The sequence below is a fragment of the Homo sapiens genome, chromosome 1 (assembly GCF_000001405.40).
Source record: "Homo sapiens chromosome 1, GRCh38.p14 Primary Assembly".
Taxonomy (NCBI): domain Eukaryota; kingdom Metazoa; phylum Chordata; class Mammalia; order Primates; family Hominidae; genus Homo; species Homo sapiens.
The window spans coordinates 172,433,915-172,450,085 of record NC_000001.11 but is presented as its reverse complement, the minus strand read 5'-3'; the positions used below and the strand labels follow the sequence as shown (position 1 = coordinate 172,450,085).

The 16,171-nt window shown below is 41.9% G+C and overlaps 2 protein-coding genes across 11 annotated transcripts in view, besides 3 other annotated features; one reads left to right on the top strand and one right to left on the bottom strand.

Moving 5' to 3' along the window:
* C1orf105 (chromosome 1 open reading frame 105) overlaps window positions 1–16,171 on the bottom strand; it is a 48,145-nt gene that overhangs the window by 18,744 nt on the left and 13,230 nt on the right. For 3 of the 9 annotated variants that reach the window (XM_011510152.3, XM_011510153.3, NM_139240.4), the window contains 2 exons: window positions 4,928–5,013; window positions 1,555–1,645 (listed from right to left, as the gene is read on the bottom strand). The exons of 1 other annotated variant lie outside the window; for it this stretch is intronic. In XM_011510152.3, coding sequence (XP_011508454.1) covers window positions 1,555–1,645; window positions 4,928–5,013 — 177 coding nt within the window. Of the gene's footprint in view, window positions 1–1,554; window positions 1,646–4,927; window positions 5,014–5,760; window positions 5,778–5,800; window positions 6,096–16,171 lie in introns of those variants that run through there. 5 more of the 9 variants (XM_005245608.4, XM_017002808.1, XM_005245610.5 and 2 more) reach the window with 5 other exon arrangements.
* Window positions 5,629–5,938: an enhancer, noted in NCBI's record as "active region_2091". NCBI's record gives its function as "activates an Ori minimal core promoter by ATAC-STARR-seq in GM12878 lymphoblastoid cells {active_cell/tissue: GM12878}" and the evidence as "EXISTENCE:reporter gene assay evidence [ECO:0000049][PMID:35858748]".
* Window positions 5,629–6,185: a biological region, named in NCBI's record as "NANOG-H3K27ac-H3K4me1 hESC enhancer GRCh37_chr1:172413041-172413564".
* Window positions 5,662–6,185: an enhancer, noted in NCBI's record as "NANOG-H3K27ac-H3K4me1 hESC enhancer chr1:172413041-172413564 (GRCh37/hg19 assembly coordinates)". NCBI's record gives its function as "activates a minimal SCP1, AML or CMV promoter by ChIP-STARR-seq in primed H9 embryonic stem cells {active_cell/tissue: H9 hESC(primed)}" and the evidence as "EXISTENCE:reporter gene assay evidence [ECO:0000049][PMID:30033119]".
* PIGC (phosphatidylinositol glycan anchor biosynthesis class C) lies at window positions 6,017–8,629 on the top strand. 2 transcript variants are annotated; one of them, NM_153747.2, is made up of 2 exons: window positions 6,017–6,098; window positions 7,256–8,629. In NM_153747.2, exon 2 carries the CDS (start codon window positions 7,464–7,466, stop codon window positions 8,355–8,357), a length of 894 nt encoding a protein of 297 aa, NP_714969.1. In that variant the 5' UTR covers window positions 6,017–6,098; window positions 7,256–7,463; the 3' UTR covers window positions 8,358–8,629. The 2 variants fall into 2 exon arrangements, with proteins under 2 accessions (NP_714969.1, NP_002633.1); NM_002642.4 differs by having other exon boundaries at window positions 7,233–8,629.

The window sequence follows — 16,171 nt, the reverse complement described above, 5'->3', positions numbered from 1 at the left end:
ATGAATATTGCAGCCACAAAAACCGCTATACCCTGCTGGAGAATGGCCTCTCACTCCTACTGGTCGTTAGCATTGGCTTTCCTTCCCCATTCTCCACTCCAGCCAGGCTGGGGCCTGGTGTCCTAGTGCCCAGGTTGCCACAGTACAGAGACCCAGAACAAACCTGAGATGAGGAGGCATTCAGCGGCAGGTGAGACCTGTCTAAATAGGAAGTTCACAGCGACTTGATGACTGGAAGGCTTCTTGCTGGTTCTGCAGCAATTGCTAAGCCAGTCCTGCCTCCCCGCTCATCCCCCACCTCTACCCAGTGCACGTCATGGTGGCCATGTTACCTACTTGCCTGTCCAGGGTGTTAGGGGGACTAAGAGATGACTCTTAAGCAAAGCTTGGACCCTGAAACTCCGGTGTTGAAAACCTTCAATGTGTCCTCTCTGCTCTTGTCTGTTGGGCCCTGTGTGCATTAGCTGGGCCCAGCCGCGTCCTTGTTTCCCTTTCATGTATGCTCAGAATTCCTTGATATTCTTCAGGCATTTCCTCCTGCACACTCAGTCTCCACCTCTTTGCTGATAATCTTCTCTTCTCTTTCCAGTTCTTCCTCCACCCCTGGCTCTTCCCTCCACTTGAAAACAGTATCTTCTAGGTCCAGTGCAGATGCCACTTCCTCTTGAATCATTCCCTCACTTCCACTCTGCTTGCCCAACCTGGGGGTAACCTTTGCTCCCACCTTCTCTCACAAGTGCTGTGCCCTGTTTCTGAGACGCATTCTCAGTTGTGTCCCTGTCCTGTCTGCTCACTCATCTGTGTAGCTGCGGCTGACTCACTCATCTCTGATGTATTAAAGCAAATACAAAGGCCTCCGTAAACATATATTGACTGACACCAGGGCTCCTAATAATTGTGGCTCACATTCACTGAGCTCTTGCTCTGGGTGGGGCACCGTGTCGAGTGCCTTAGGACGCTGCTTCAGGCACTGCCTATGACAGCCCTGTGAGGAATGTGCAATTTTTCAGGTGAAAAAATTGCTTATCTCACCATATATTTTCTCTCTTTCTCCACCTCAGGGAGGTTCTGACTACCCAAGCACTGTAGCCTGTGTGCTTGCTCCACAGTGACACCGAGGGTCACCTGGCAGCCGGTCATGGTGGAGGGGAAATGAGGAGTTTTTAATGTAAAATTCCACAGGTGTAGGGAGTTGTAGGTGGGAGACATAAGCAATCCTTTGGGGGAGGCAGTAGAGACTCCAGATTGGTTCCAGTCACAGGCTGATAGGCATTCCCTGGAAGTCTTGGGGCAGATTCCTCCATACTAATTTTTAGTTTCCTGTTTTGTTGATTCTAACCTTATGCCTGTATTCTTAGTTCTAGTGGACTGGGACCCTAAGGCACTTGAGACATAGTGAGGGGGGTGGGGCCATTCATTTCATTTAACAAATATTTATTGAACATTGATGGTGTACCAAGCACAGGGCTGTGCTAAGGAGATGGGACATGTATTCATATTCTATGTCATTCTAGAACTGCTGTTGGTTTCATTTCAACAAAAATTTTTTAGTACCTTAGATAAAACATCTGGAACTTGAAACAAAATTGGCAAATTCATATTCTTCTTGGATGAAGTCAGAAAAGTCGCAGAGGTATGAGGATATCTAAGTAATTAAAACAAGAGAACGTTAGAACCGCAGTCCCATGTTTGAAGAGCCAGGCCCTTGGTTGTTTCTGAGAGAATACAAGGGACACCACAGGGAGCTATCTTCCACTCCAGTTCTGGAGCACTCAGGCCATTGGGGAGCTCCCAAAAGATGGATTTGCCCTCCTATGTCACTTTGGCTTTTCTGTCCCTTTTGTTTTGCACTAACCAATTTTGGATTGTCAGACACTGTACAAACAAGGCAGGATAAAGATTGTTCACAACAGTAGATGTGTAATGAGCGAAATGAATCCCAGGTTTCCTCTTTGAAAGGGTCTGCACTCAAGTTTTTGATGTTTAACCTGCACCTGTCCCCTTTCGTACCTGGGCTGACTTCTTGGAGTTTGTGTCCTTGCACCCTGAAACAATCCACCTGTTTCCTCCCACAGAATGTCTTCTCCCTTCACCCATTCTTTTCCTTTGGAACATTTTTTCTTTCTAGTTAGCAGTTGAAGCAGTGATGTTGCAAGAACACCAGTTCCTTTTACAGGGTGACCTGCCTGCGCTCTGTCTCACTTGGCACTGTGGTTCATTTCATTACAGTGTAAGGGGCCAAGGCCTGCAGGGGCCTGATAATCATAAACTGTGTGTGTTGCACCATTCATGCCCCTGGCATCCAAGAAATAGAAACTCAGAATGCTGGCAGTTTTGCCGGGAACACACCTCCTCTCTAATGAGGGAAGATTTCATTGTCCATTGTTTATTTAAAACAAAGGCATGTGAAAGGAGTTTGATGCTCATGAGACATTTCTTGCTTCATTTCTCCTCACACTTCCCTGGGCCCTGTAAGACCAGAGATGGTGGGTCTGACATGAGTGCCCTCGGGGTCTTTGTCTTTGATATGGGAATAGGCTCTCTTGGACTTGTCACCCAAATGCTGACCAGCAGAGACCAGGAGGCCAGTTTAGAACTCCTTCAGCATACAATAATCTTATATAAACATGACCTTAGTGTGACTTGAAGGGCTTTGGAGACTGACGATGAGTGTGGCTTTGAAATTGTCAGGCCTACCTGAGAGAGTCCTTGAAGGAAGTGGGTCAGTACAGGCACTTCTTATTACAGCCCAGCCTCACCTCCTCCAACCCTGTAGGTGTGTTTCCATTGCGCACACTTGGAATTACTCTGAGCATATTTGGCTAAATGTTCCTTTATCTTTTTTCAGACTGTTCTGCATTAGAACTCTTTGCTCAAGGGTATGTAATGCTTAAGGCACATTGAGAACTTTCTCCCAAAGTCTCAGTAAGGGGCTTTGCCAAAAATAAACAGCTTGGAACCCGGAGCTTTGGCCCACATGAGGAGCTTTTAATCCTTAAGATCTTTTGATACTTAAACCATCCTTTCAAAAGACTTTTCATTCCCGTCTTGTCCTCCTGAGAGCTCAGGGCACCTCAAAGGTGCTGTTCGGTCACCTTTGTTGTGAGGTAGGTATATTACATTTTTCTAAACAAGAATTAAGATTGCTACCCCAATCCTCCCAGAATAGCGATGAGTAGAGCTTCACTGCCTGCCTAAGGTAATTTCTCCTTGTGCCTAGCTTAGGTTTGGCTGGCTGGAGGAAAAACTGCCCACTCCCTTTCCAGTTGGCTGTCAACAGACTGTCTGCTCTGACCCTCCAGGACCTGGCTATGAAAGTGAACAGGTGCTGCCGATGCCCAGTTGTATTCTAGGCCTACCCTTCTCCCTGATCTCCACCCTCTGCCAAAGGCTTGTGTAATTAGAGACCAAGGGAGCTGGGGGCAAGAGAGCCATGCACAAGGATACTTTGCTCTTCGCTGCTGGGGCAGGTCTAATGGGCATGGGGGTAGTATGGGATGGTGGGATATTACCCTATTAGATCAAACACTAGCAATTTCACATAAAACATCCAGATTTCTAGTACTGTTAGAAGACCCAGTGGATCTGGCCTCTGGACTCACATGCCTGCAGGTAACACTGCTGGCGTGGGGGTGGGCTGAAGCGGGGAGGTGATTTCCCATTCATTGCAGTCCTGTTTGGCCAGCTTTACTCATTATGCCCCTCATCTGACTGTCATGGGCCTGTGAGTTTGTGTCCCACCCTCAATTAAAATATGCTAGACTGTCCTTACTCGTGCTGATCCATGCAGTGTTAACAACTCTTAATAAGCACTCTATCACTTAGTACTTTTGTTTCTTAAATAGGCCTTTGAGTTTATTGAACCTCTGATAATCTGCTTTCGTTATATTCAAAATTATGTAAAAATAACACAACTGAATAACGAGCACTTGAAAGCACTTGTGAATTTTGTTCTGAAAATACTAAAACCGTCTACCTATTTACTGAGAATGAGATTTTTTTTTAATGTACAGTAGACAAAGCAAAGGTACATGTTACTAAAGTGGGGATGTGGAGACAGTGATGGGAATTTGCTTATGAAGTCACTTATCCATGGGCAGGAGGGTACATGGTAGTTATCAACAGGAGGAGAAACTCTTTTTGGGGAGTCTGGCTTTTCTAACGAGCTGTTTCGAATGCCAAGGAGTCATTCCTTTTTAGTCTGTCGTGTGCCTTTGGAATGGCCTCTATGCCTGCCCTTTCTCTTTCTCTCTGCCCTCTTTCTGGTTTCTCTCATTCACCCCAACACTACCTCACACCTACCCTTCTGTCCATGTCCCCTTCCCAGAGTGGGGTTTATCACTACACTTAGGAACCATTTCATCAAAAATGGAGAAGGGACACGGTAACCCAATTATTTCAAGAGACAGTTGAAATGCTCCCTAGATATGTAATTCCTGCAATTTTGAAAAATAGATTTATGTGTCATATAGTAGTTTGTTTGGAAGGAGTAGGACTAACAGGAATGTAGGAGGGTGCCTCAAAGTTACATACAGAGTTACTATTCTATAAAGATGGGAACTTACTGTTCTAGACTTTTGATGGTAAAAATGTGAAAATTTCAGACTACAGCAGTGGAGAAAATGTGGGGTGAGAAAGAGGATGGAAGTGTTTTGAGAGACAGTGTCTAGGGGAAAAATTATCTTATACTGTTGAGTGGTAGTGGTGGAGAGGGAAAAATTTTGAGATCTCATCTCCTCTAGCCAGGCCTATACTCAGTGATCATTTTTTTCTGAGAAACCCGGATTATTTCTATTTTTAAAGCACTTGACTTGAGTTTCTCAATGGATCAAATGTGCCCTCTGATAATTGTCCCCATCCCTTAAGAAGAAATCATCTTCTGTGAGATGTTTCGTAAAACTTTTGCCCTCGGTGGCTGAGAGGTTACCTTCTGGGAAGGCTGAGCACTAATGGCTTGTTTACAAGGCTGGCCTCACTAAGCCAAGGAATCTTGTCAAATTTTGGAACAGAAGCCTAGAGGGAAATAGAGAACATTTTACAGAATATATCACACTTAAACATTGCTATCATTACGATGGCCAAAGTCAGCTAATAGCAGCCATATAGTGAACACTTTACAAACCATTTTTATATTTAACTCTTTAACCATCCTATAAAGTAGCCAAGTGCAAATAATGTCATCTCCATTTTACTGATGAAGAAATCAAAGCTCAGGTAGTGTGATTTGCCTTGAGTCACTGAGCTAGTAAATGGGTCATGTTTTCTGACTTTTATTTCCACTGTATCCTGTGTTTTACTACATCCCTTTGTTTCTTTATTACTTCCTTCTGTTTATATATCCTTTAATATTTCCATGAACTCAGTTTAATTAGCAATCTTGTCCTCACTTCTTTTAGGAGGTAAAGAGGAAAAAAACCAAGCTTTGAAGCTATAGACAACTGGATATTGATCTCTGTTCATCTACTTCCCAGGTGCCTGTCTTTGGACAAATACAACTTATCTGAGCCTTAGATTTGTCCTCTTTGAGGGGGGAGATGATATAATCAGTGTAAAGGTCAATGCACCAAAAAAGAGAGTTTCATGAGAGCAGCAATTTTTGTGTGTTTCATTCACGGCTGTATCATGAGCACCCCAAGCATGGCTTGTTACATGCAGGCATTCAATCAGTATCTGTGGAATGAACGCATGGATGCACGGGAAGTCCCAGCTGAGGGCCTGACTTAATAAAGGAGCGCAACAAAAGCGGCCATTATCTCTCACCTACTGGCCCAGCCTCTTTCCTTGTCCTCTCTTGCCTTACCCAGTCCTTCAGATGGCACATCCCATCTTTCAATAGGGGATTGCTGGGGATTTGCCTTCCTAGGCTCAGAGCATTCGGGTTTGGGCCAGTCTCCAGGAGAGGAGACCGGAGGTCCTTCGAGCAGCCAGGAGGGGGCAGCAGTCACGTCGCGATGGTTCCAGCCGGGGAAGGGTGCCCTCGCTAAGGAGATTGCGGCGGACCCGGAAGTGCTTGGCCACAGTCGCAGCCCCGGCGCCCCGAAGCGGGAAAAAGGCTGGGTGCCGCCGTCCCCCAGCTGCGCAACCCTAGGAACTCTCGGGTAGGTGGGTTCCGTGTAACGGTCAGTGTTTCCGGGGCTCCTTTTCCTCTGCTGCCTCCCGCAGACCCAAGGCTGAGTGAGGGGCGGCGGCGGAAGTGGGAGGCCCACCCAAAAAGCCAAATGGGGTGCCAGAAGAGTGAAGGCGCACCCTGGGGTCACCCTACCCTACCCCGTCCCCTCCCAGCCCCACTCTGCGGGCGGGCGCTGCCCTTTTGGGCGTCGCAGACCCTCCAACCCCGGCGGCGGCCTTAAGATTCCCGGGCTGGGATCCCTGCTGCAGAGGGGGTAACGGTGTCTGGCTTGCCAAGCAATATTTGTTGTGGTCTATCATGGAAGAAATAAAGTCGGGCAATATGAATTTTTTTTTTCTCAAATTTGCCGGATGGCTGTGGTGTTTCTGACTCTTAGTTTTCTCATTGTGAAAAAGGAATGATTATCTTCTTCGATCCTCTCAAGAGTTTCCTTGTTTTGAGTAGATTGATAGCTCTTTAAAGGATGCTAAGCTCAGCTAATGGAAGAAGAGTCTAGTTTCTTTGAGGCTTTGATTTTGGTTAAACTATAGAGCTCATACCTTTCTGTATGGTGCAGCTTACTATTGTCTTTGGATTGGTAACTTAAAAAATACAAATAACATGCCTTTGAGAACCAATAAAAACTATGGATATTATCCCTATAAATTTACACAAATCCAGATATAAGCATGCAATGTGATATACCTAAGGGATATGTGAACCACTGAGTTAAGAACTGCTTTAGAGGGAGATACAATGTGAGACACAGGCTTTGGGATAAGACTTTGGTTTGAATCCTGGCTCTGCTCTGTTACCTTAGGGCAAAGTTACTTAAGCATCTTGAATCTCAGCTTTTTTACCAAAGCAGGACTAATACTAACTTACAAGGTGGTGAGGATTAAGTGAAAGAAGATACATAAGGCACTTAGCACATAGTAGGTACTCAATAAGCGATAGCTAACAGATGTCTATTATTATTCAAGGAATTATAATTTTCAAATCTGAAATGCAGTTTTAATGTCCCATAAGGTGACTACCACATACATTTTTCTCAGACTTTTAGTAAACTGAGTTGATTTGACTTTATCTCAGTACTACTCTTGACCTTTCACAACTTTCGTAGGTTCACAGTCTCTCTTTTTCTAGGAACTTGGCTGTGTTGTCCTGCCTCAGAGACAAATTCATCTATTGTAGGCCTAGCCCCTGCCTTTGAAAACAAGGAAAGGTTGGTAGAACATCAACACAGCATGGAATTTCCAGGGAGGTCTCATTTCAAAACTTCATAAAGAACAAGAACCACCTGGACTTCTGTGAGGGCGATGATTAAACTGGCCTGAGTTTGAATGAAAGGATAATGTATGCTCAACCTGTGACTAACACCAAGGAGGTCAAGTGGCAGAAGGTCTTGTATGAGCGACAGCCCTTTCCTGATAACTATGTGGACCGGCGATTCCTGGAAGAGCTCCGGAAAAACATCCATGCTCGGAAATACCAATATTGGGCTGTGGTATTTGAGTCCAGTGTGGTGATCCAGCAGCTGTGCAGTGTTTGTGTTTTTGTGGTTATCTGGTGGTATATGGATGAGGGTCTTCTGGCCCCCCATTGGCTTTTAGGGACTGGTCTGGCTTCTTCACTGATTGGGTATGTTTTGTTTGATCTCATTGATGGAGGTGAAGGGCGGAAGAAGAGTGGGCAGACCCGGTGGGCTGACCTGAAGAGTGCCCTAGTCTTCATTACTTTCACTTATGGGTTTTCACCAGTGCTGAAGACCCTTACAGAGTCTGTCAGCACTGACACCATCTATGCCATGTCAGTCTTCATGCTGTTAGGCCATCTCATCTTTTTTGACTATGGTGCCAATGCTGCCATTGTATCCAGCACACTATCCTTGAACATGGCCATCTTTGCTTCTGTATGCTTGGCATCACGTCTTCCCCGGTCCCTGCATGCCTTCATCATGGTGACATTTGCCATTCAGATTTTTGCCCTGTGGCCCATGTTGCAGAAGAAACTAAAGGCATGTACTCCCCGGAGCTATGTGGGGGTCACACTGCTTTTTGCATTTTCAGCCGTGGGAGGCCTACTGTCCATTAGTGCTGTGGGAGCCGTACTCTTTGCCCTTCTGCTGATGTCTATCTCATGTCTGTGTCCATTCTACCTCATTCGCTTGCAGCTTTTTAAAGAAAACATTCATGGGCCTTGGGATGAAGCTGAAATCAAGGAAGACTTGTCCAGGTTCCTCAGTTAAATTAGGACATCCATTACATTATTAAAGCAAGCTGATAGATTAGCCTCCTAACTAGTATAGAACTTAAAGACAGAGTTCCATTCTGGAAGCAGCATGTCATTGTGGTAAGAGAATAGAGATCAAAACCAAAAAAAATGAACCAAAGGCTTGGGTGGTGAGGGTGCTTATCCTTTCTGTTATTTTGTAGATGAAAAAACTTTCTGGGGACCTCTTGAATTACATGCTGTAACATATGAAGTGATGTGGTTTCTATTAAAAAAATAACACATCCATCAAGTTGTCTCATGATTTTTCCATAAACAGGAGGCAGACAGAGGGGCATGAAGAGTGAAGTAAGTGTGTGTGTGTGTGTGTGTGTGTGTGTGTGTGTGTGTGTAAAGTCACTTCTTTCTACCCTTTTCAATGTGCTAATGCTCTTTTATTTATCTAGGGCTCAAATCTTAGAACACAGGGTGCTATGCTCAGTTTTGTTGCCCAAGATCACAGAATTGGTTACTTAACCTTGACTCAGAGTTTCTACCTTGTTCTTAGGGAAGCATATCACAACTAATTGCAAAGCAGAGTGTGATGTGTCACAATAAGCAGAATGCTAGGGGGAATTCAGAAGCTGGAGATAAATTTCAGCTGGAATAATTAGGAAATAAGAGAGGCGGTGACATTTAAGCTTAGTCTTGGAGGACAGGGGAGACTTAAATAGGCAAGAGATGGTTTTAGGGCATTGTGGTGAAGGCCTTTAGAAGCCAGGTCAGTAATGGAAGCGAGTGAAACTGGCATACTTTGTGTGACTGATGGCAACTGTGAACAACTATGGAGATGTCCAATGGAGACACCTGCTATTGTGCTGCATCTATTCACAGTTTGTGCCTAGCTTCAGACCTTTAGAATTCCAGATAGGATTCTAAAAGAAATCCCAATAACTGTATATCTGATTTTTAATATGAAATCTGACTTGTAAATTAATCCGTCTAAAAACACATTTGCAGGCAACATAAGACTACTACTGTGCCCATCTGTCCTTAGCATGGGCACAATGATGGGACAATATTTGATGGCCATTCAGGGTTATGGGGACTTTTGGGAGGGGATATTGGGAAAAAGTCAGAATGGGAGGTTGAGTAGCAATTTGAGGGCTATGAATTTGGGCTCCATACTGTAGGTAATGGGGAGCAATCCAGTTTGTCTAAGGCGGAAATAAATTATCAAATCTTGGGCCACAACTGTTCTATGTCTCAGTTTTCATCTGTAAAGTGGGAATAAAAGTATCTACCTCTAGAATTGTGGTAAATGGGATACATGCAAAGTGCTTTGAAGAATCCCTGATACGAAGCACTATGTATTAGCATCAGCACTATGTAATAGCTAGTACTAATGTATTAGATGTTGTTTAAGCTGACATGTAAGAAAACCTGAAGAGAGCAGAGACAAGGTGCCAAATGCAGCAGGCACCTCCCAAGATAGCTGGTTATTCCTGTGGTAATTCATTTGTGGCAAGTTTCTATACTGTCCTTTTATCACTAGGAATTAATTTCAAATCAGAAATTTTGTTAAGGGAGTCATATTCCAAAATATAATGTTTTTATTTCTTTGAACATAAATTTCTCAAGAATGTCTGGGACATGACTTTGAACTAGTGTCTTCAGCTCTTGTCATGTCACATTCTTTATCAGAGTTTTATTTGGACAGATGAATATTGTGTTTTGTGATAAAAAAAATTGGTGGTTTTCTGTAAGGTCAATTGGACTGCTTTCTATATCCAAGGACACTGGCCAATGAGGAGAAAAGGGTTTCAGGGACTAACCTCTGAAGCCCAAAGCATCTGTCCACTGCCTGCTCCTGGTTTGGGCTTGTGCCTCAATAGAGGCATGCCTCATAATTATTCTATAGTCCACATCAGGAACAGGGCTAGGTGTTGGTGGTTGAAGATAGTAAAGAGTTCTATGAAATTGTAGTTTTTGTTTATATGTATTAATACATTTGTATTATTTGAAGGCATTTGTGATTGTTAATTTTAGGGAACTCAGGTAGCAAACGTGCATATTGGTGACCAGAAAGTTTCTCAAACTTTCAAGAATAGTTTCTTGGTGGGATGACAATATGGCTGCACTATCATTTTCAGCTTTTCCCTGTCACACTGTATAGTATTTGGAGTCACTCAGTCCCTGATCTTACACAATTTGGTGGTTGTAGAAATTCATTGTGAAGGTGGTGGGAGACGGAGAGTTGCGGGATAGATGCAAGGATGAAGGGTGAGGCAGTAGACTTAATTTGGACAGAAAAGTGGTAGCTGTGGGGAGAAGGTTATTACAGCTAGAATGAACAGTATGTGCCAGAGTGCACAGGACCTGATGCATCCTGGCAGTGGAGAATAGCACAGGACAAATGGGCTGTAGTGAGGGACTGAAATCTGAGAGTGCTGAATACTTTGCATTATTGTATCCTGTAGTCAGTGGCAAGTTAAGGGGCTTTTGAAGAGAGATGTGATAAAACTAGATAGATAAATCATATATAAGTGTGTATATATAGACATGTACACACACACAAAGTGTGTATACCATTCACATATATGTGCACCAATATCTGTCTATATACAGGCATACTTTGGAGATACTGAGGTTCGGTTCCAGACCACTACAATAAAGCTAATATTACAATAAAACAAATCACATGAATTTTTTGGTTTTCCAGTGTGTATAAAATTTATGCTTACATTATAATAAAGTCTATAAAGTGTGCACTCTCATGTCTAAAAAATATGCATACCCTAATTTAAAAATGCTTTCTTGCTAAAAATGCGAACAATCATCTGAGCCTTCTGTGAATCAGAATCTTTTTGCTGATGAGGGTCTTGCCTTGATGTTGATGGCTGCTGACATAAGGGTGGTAGGTGCTGAAGGCTGAGGTGGCTGTGGCAATTTCATGAAATAAGACAATAATGAAGTTTGCTGCATCTATCAACTCTTCCTTTCAAGAAAGATTTCTCTGTAGCACATGATGCTGTTTGATAGCATTTTACTCACAGTAGAACATCTTTCAAAATTGGGTCAACCCTCTCAAACCCTGCCACTGCTTTATAACAATTTCATGTAATATTCTAAAAATTGTTATTTCAACAAAAACAATGTTCATGGCATCTTCATCAGAAGTAGATTTCATTTTGGGAAACCACTTTTCTTGCTACTCATAGTAATCAATTTCTTATCTCTTCAGTTCTATCATATGATTGTAGCAATTCAGTCACATCTTTACACACCACTTCTAGTTCTCTTGCTATTTCCACCACATCTGCAGTTATTTGCTCCGCTGAAGTCTCGAACCTCTCAGAGTAATTCATGAGGGTTGGAGTCAACATCTTCCAAACTCCTATTAATGTCGATATTTTGACCTCCTCTCACAAGTTACAAATGTTCTTAATGGCAATGCCTAGATCCATCAGAGGAATCACTATCTATGGCAGCTATAGCCTTACAAAATGTATTTCTTAATTAGACTTCAAAGTTAAAATTACTCTTTGATCCATGGACTTCAGAATGGATGCTGTGTTAGCAGGCATGGAAACAAATTTTAAATGAACAGTAATATTTTGAAAGGAATCTTTTTTTTTTCTGAGCAGTAGGCTCAACACTCGGCTTAAAATATTCAGTATATCATGCTGTAAACAGATGTGCTGCTATCCATGCTTTATTGTTTTACTCACAGAGCATGAGCAGAGTAGATTTCACGTAATTTTCAAGGGCCCTGGGATTTTCAGAATGGTAAATGAGCATCGATGTCAAGTCACCAACTACATTAGCCCCTAACAAGAGAGTCAGCCTGTCCTTTGAAGCCAGACATTGACTTCTCCTCTTTAGCTATGAAAATCCTAGATGGCACCTTCCAATAGAAGGCTTTTTTATCTACATTGAATATCTATTGTTGAGTGTAGCTACCTTTGTCAATATTTTTTTTTCTAGTAGAAATAAATCGTTTTGTTTATTATTATTATTATTATTATTATTATTATACTTTAAGTTCTAGGGTACATGTGCACAATGTGCAGGTTTGTTACATAGGTATACATTTGCCATGTTGGTTTGCTGTACCCATCAACTCGTCATTTACATTAGGTATTTATCCTAATGCTATCCCTCCCCCCTCCCCCCACCCCCCGGCAGGCCCCAGTGTGTGATGTTCCCCACCCTGTGTCAAAGTGTTCTCATTGTTCAATCCCACCTATGAGTGAGAACATGTGGTGTTCGGTTTTCTGTCCTTGTGATAGCTTGCTGAGAATGATGGTTTCCAGCTTTATCCGTGTCCCTGCAAAGGACATGAACTCATCCTTTTTTATGGCTGCATAGTATTCTATGGTGTATATGTACCACATTTTCATAATCCAGTCTGTCATTGATGGACATTTGGGTTGGTTCCAAGTCTTTGCTATTTTGAATAGTGCTGCAATAAACATACGTGTGCATGTGTCTTTATAGTAGCATGATTTATAATCCTTTGGGTATATACCCAGTAATGGGATGGCTGGGTCAAATGGTATTTCTAGCTCTAAATCCTTGAGGAATCGCCACACTGTCTTCCACAATGGTTGAACTAATTTACACTCCCACCAGCAGTGTAAAAGTGTTATTTCTCCACATCCTCTCCAGCATCTGTTGTTTCCTGACTTTTTAATGATTGCCATTCTAACTGGTGTGAGATGGTATCTCATTGTGATTTTGATTTGCATTTCTCTGATGACCAGTGATGATGAGCATTTTTTCATGTGTCTGTTGGCAGCACAGATGTCTTCTTCTGAGAAGTGTCTGTTCATATCCTTTGCCCACTTTTTGATGGGGTTGTTTTTTTCTTGTAAATTTGTTTAAGTTCTTTGTAGATTCTGGATATTTGCCCTCTGTCAGATGGGTAGATTGCAAAAATTTTCTCCCATTCTGTAGGTTGCCTGTTCACTCTGATGGTAGTTTCTTTTGCCATGCAGAAGCTCTTTAGTTTAATTAGATCCCATTTGTCTATTTTGGCTTTTGTTGCCATTGCTTTTGGTGTTTTAGTCATGAAGTCCTTGCCCATGCCTATATCCTGAATGGTATTACCTAGCTTTCTTCTAGGGTTTTTATGGTTTTAGATCTAACATTTGAGTCTTTAATCCATCTTGAATTAATTTTTGTGTAAGGTATAAGGAAGGGATCCAGTTTCAGCTTTCTACCTATGGCTAGCCAGTTTTCCCAGCACCATTTATTAAATCAGGATTCCTTTCCCCATTGCTTGTTTTGGTCAGGTTTGTCAAAGATCAGATGGTTGTAGATGTGTGGTGTTATTTCTGAGGCCTCTGTTCTGTTCCATTGGTCTATATCTCTGTTTTGGTATCAGTACCATGCTGTTTTGCTTACTGTAGCCTTGTAGTATAGTTTGAAGTCAGGTAGGGTGATGCCTCCAACTTTGTTCTTTTTACTTAGGATTGTCTTGGCAATGCATGCTCTTTTTTTGGTTCCATATGAACTTTAAAGTAGTTTTTTCCAATTCTGTGAAGAAAGTCATTGGTAGCTTCATGGAGATGGCATTGAATCTATAAATTACCTTGGGCGGTATGGCCATTTTCATGATACTGATTCTTCCTATCCATGAACATGGAATGTTCTTCCATTTGTTTGTGTCCTCTTTTATTTTGTTGAGCAGTGATTTGTAGTTCTTCTTGAAGAGGTCCTTCACATCCTTTGTAAGTTGGATTCCTAGGTGTTTTATTCTCTTTGTAGCAATTGTGAATGGGAGTTCACTCATGATTTGACTCTGTCTGTTATTGGTGTATAGGAATGCTTGTGATTTTTGCACATTGATTTTGTATCTTGAGACTTTGCTGAAGTTGCTTATCAGCTTAAGGAGATTTTGGGCTGAGATGATGGGGTTTTCTAAATATACAATCATGTCATCTGGAAACAGGGACAATTTGACTTCCTCTTTTCCTAATTGAATACCCTTTATTTCTTTCTCTTGGCTGATTGCCCTGGCGAGAACTTCCAACACTATGTTGAATAGGAGTGATGAGAGAGGGCATGCTTGTCTTGTGCTGGTTTTCAAAGGGAATGCTTCCAGTTTCTGCCCATTCAGTATGATATTGGTTATGGGTTTGTCATGAGTAGCTCTTATTATTTTGAGATACGTTCCATCAATACCTAGTTAATTGAGAGTTTTTAGCATGAAGGGCTGTTGAATTTTGTCAAAGACCTTTTCTGCATTTATTGAGATAATTTTGTGGTTTTTTTTGTTGGTTCTGTTTATGTGATGGATTACGTTTATTGATTTGCGTATGTTGAACCAGCCTTGCATCCCAGGGATGAAGCCAACTTGATCGTGGTGGATAAGCTTTTTGATGGGCTGCTGGATTCCATTTGCCAGTATTTTATTGAGGATTTTTGCATCGACATTCATCAGGGATATTGGCCTAAAGTTCTCTTTTTTGTGTGTCTTTGCCAGGCTTTGGTATCAGGATGATGCTGACCTCATAAAATGAGTTAGGGAGGATTCCTTCTTTTTCTATTGATTGGAATAGTTTCAGAAGGAATGGTACCAGCTCCTCTTTTTACCTCTGGTAGAATTCGGCTGTGAATCCATCTGGTCCTGGACTTTTTTTGGTTGGTAGGCTATTAATTATTTCTTCAATTTCAGAGCCTGTTATTGGTCTAGTCAGAGATTCAGCTCTTTCCTCGTTTAGTTGTGGGAGGGTGTATGTGTCCAGGAATTTATCCATTTCTTCTAGATTTTCTAGTTCATTTGCATAGAGGTGTTTATAGTATTCTCTGATGGTAGTTTGTATTTCTGTGGGATTGGTGGTGATATCCCCTTTATCATTTTTTATTGTGTCTATTTGATTCTTCTCTTTTCTTCTTTATTAGTCTTGCTAGCGGTCTATCAATTTTGTTGATCTTTTCAAAAAACCAGCTCCTGGATTCATTGATTTTTTGAAGGGTTTTTTATGTCTCTATCTCCTTCAGTTCTGCTCTGATCTTAGTTATTTCTTGCCTTCTGCTAGCTTTTGAATTTGCTTTTGCTTCTCTAGTTCTTTTAATTGTGATGTTAGAGTGTTGATTTTAGATCTTTCCTGCTTTTCTTGTGGGCATTTAGTGCTATAAATTTCCCTCTACACACTGCTTTAAATGCATCCCAGAGATTCTGGTATGTTGTGTCTTTGTTCTCATTGGTTTCAAAGAACATCTTTATTTCTGCCTTCATTTTGTTATGTACCCAGTAGTCATTCAGGAGCAGGTTGTTCAGTTTCCATGTAGTTGTGTGGCTTTAAGTGAGTTTCTTAATCCTGAGTTCTAATTTGATTGCACTGTGGTCTGAGAGACAGTTTGTTGTGATTTCTGTTCTTTTACATTTGCTGAGGAGTGCTTTACTTCCAACTATGTGGTCAATATTAGAATAAGTGCGATGTGCTGCTGAAAAGAATGTATATTTTGTTGATGTGGGGTGGAGAGTTTTGTAGATGTCTATTAGGTTTGCTTGGTGCAGAGCTGAGTTCAATCCTGGTTATCCTTGTTAACATTTTGTCTCGTTAATCTGTCTAATATTGACAGTGGGGTGTTAAAGTCTCCCATTATTATTGTGTTGGAGTCTAAGCCTCTTTGTAGGTCTCTAAGGACTTGCTTTATGAATCTGGGTGCTCCTTTATTGGGTGCATATATATTTAGGATAGTTAGCTCTTCTTGTTGAATTGATCCCCTTACCATTATGTAATGGCTTTCTTTGTCTCTTTTGATCTTTGTTGGTTTAAAGTCTGTTTTATCAGAGACTAGGATTGTAACCCCTGCTTTTTTTTGCTTTCCATTTGCTTG

Coding starts and splice junctions, on each gene's coding strand:
- PIGC (NM_153747.2), top strand. CDS start 7,464: ATGTATGCTCAACCTGTGACTAACACCAAGGAGGTCAAGTGGCAGAAG.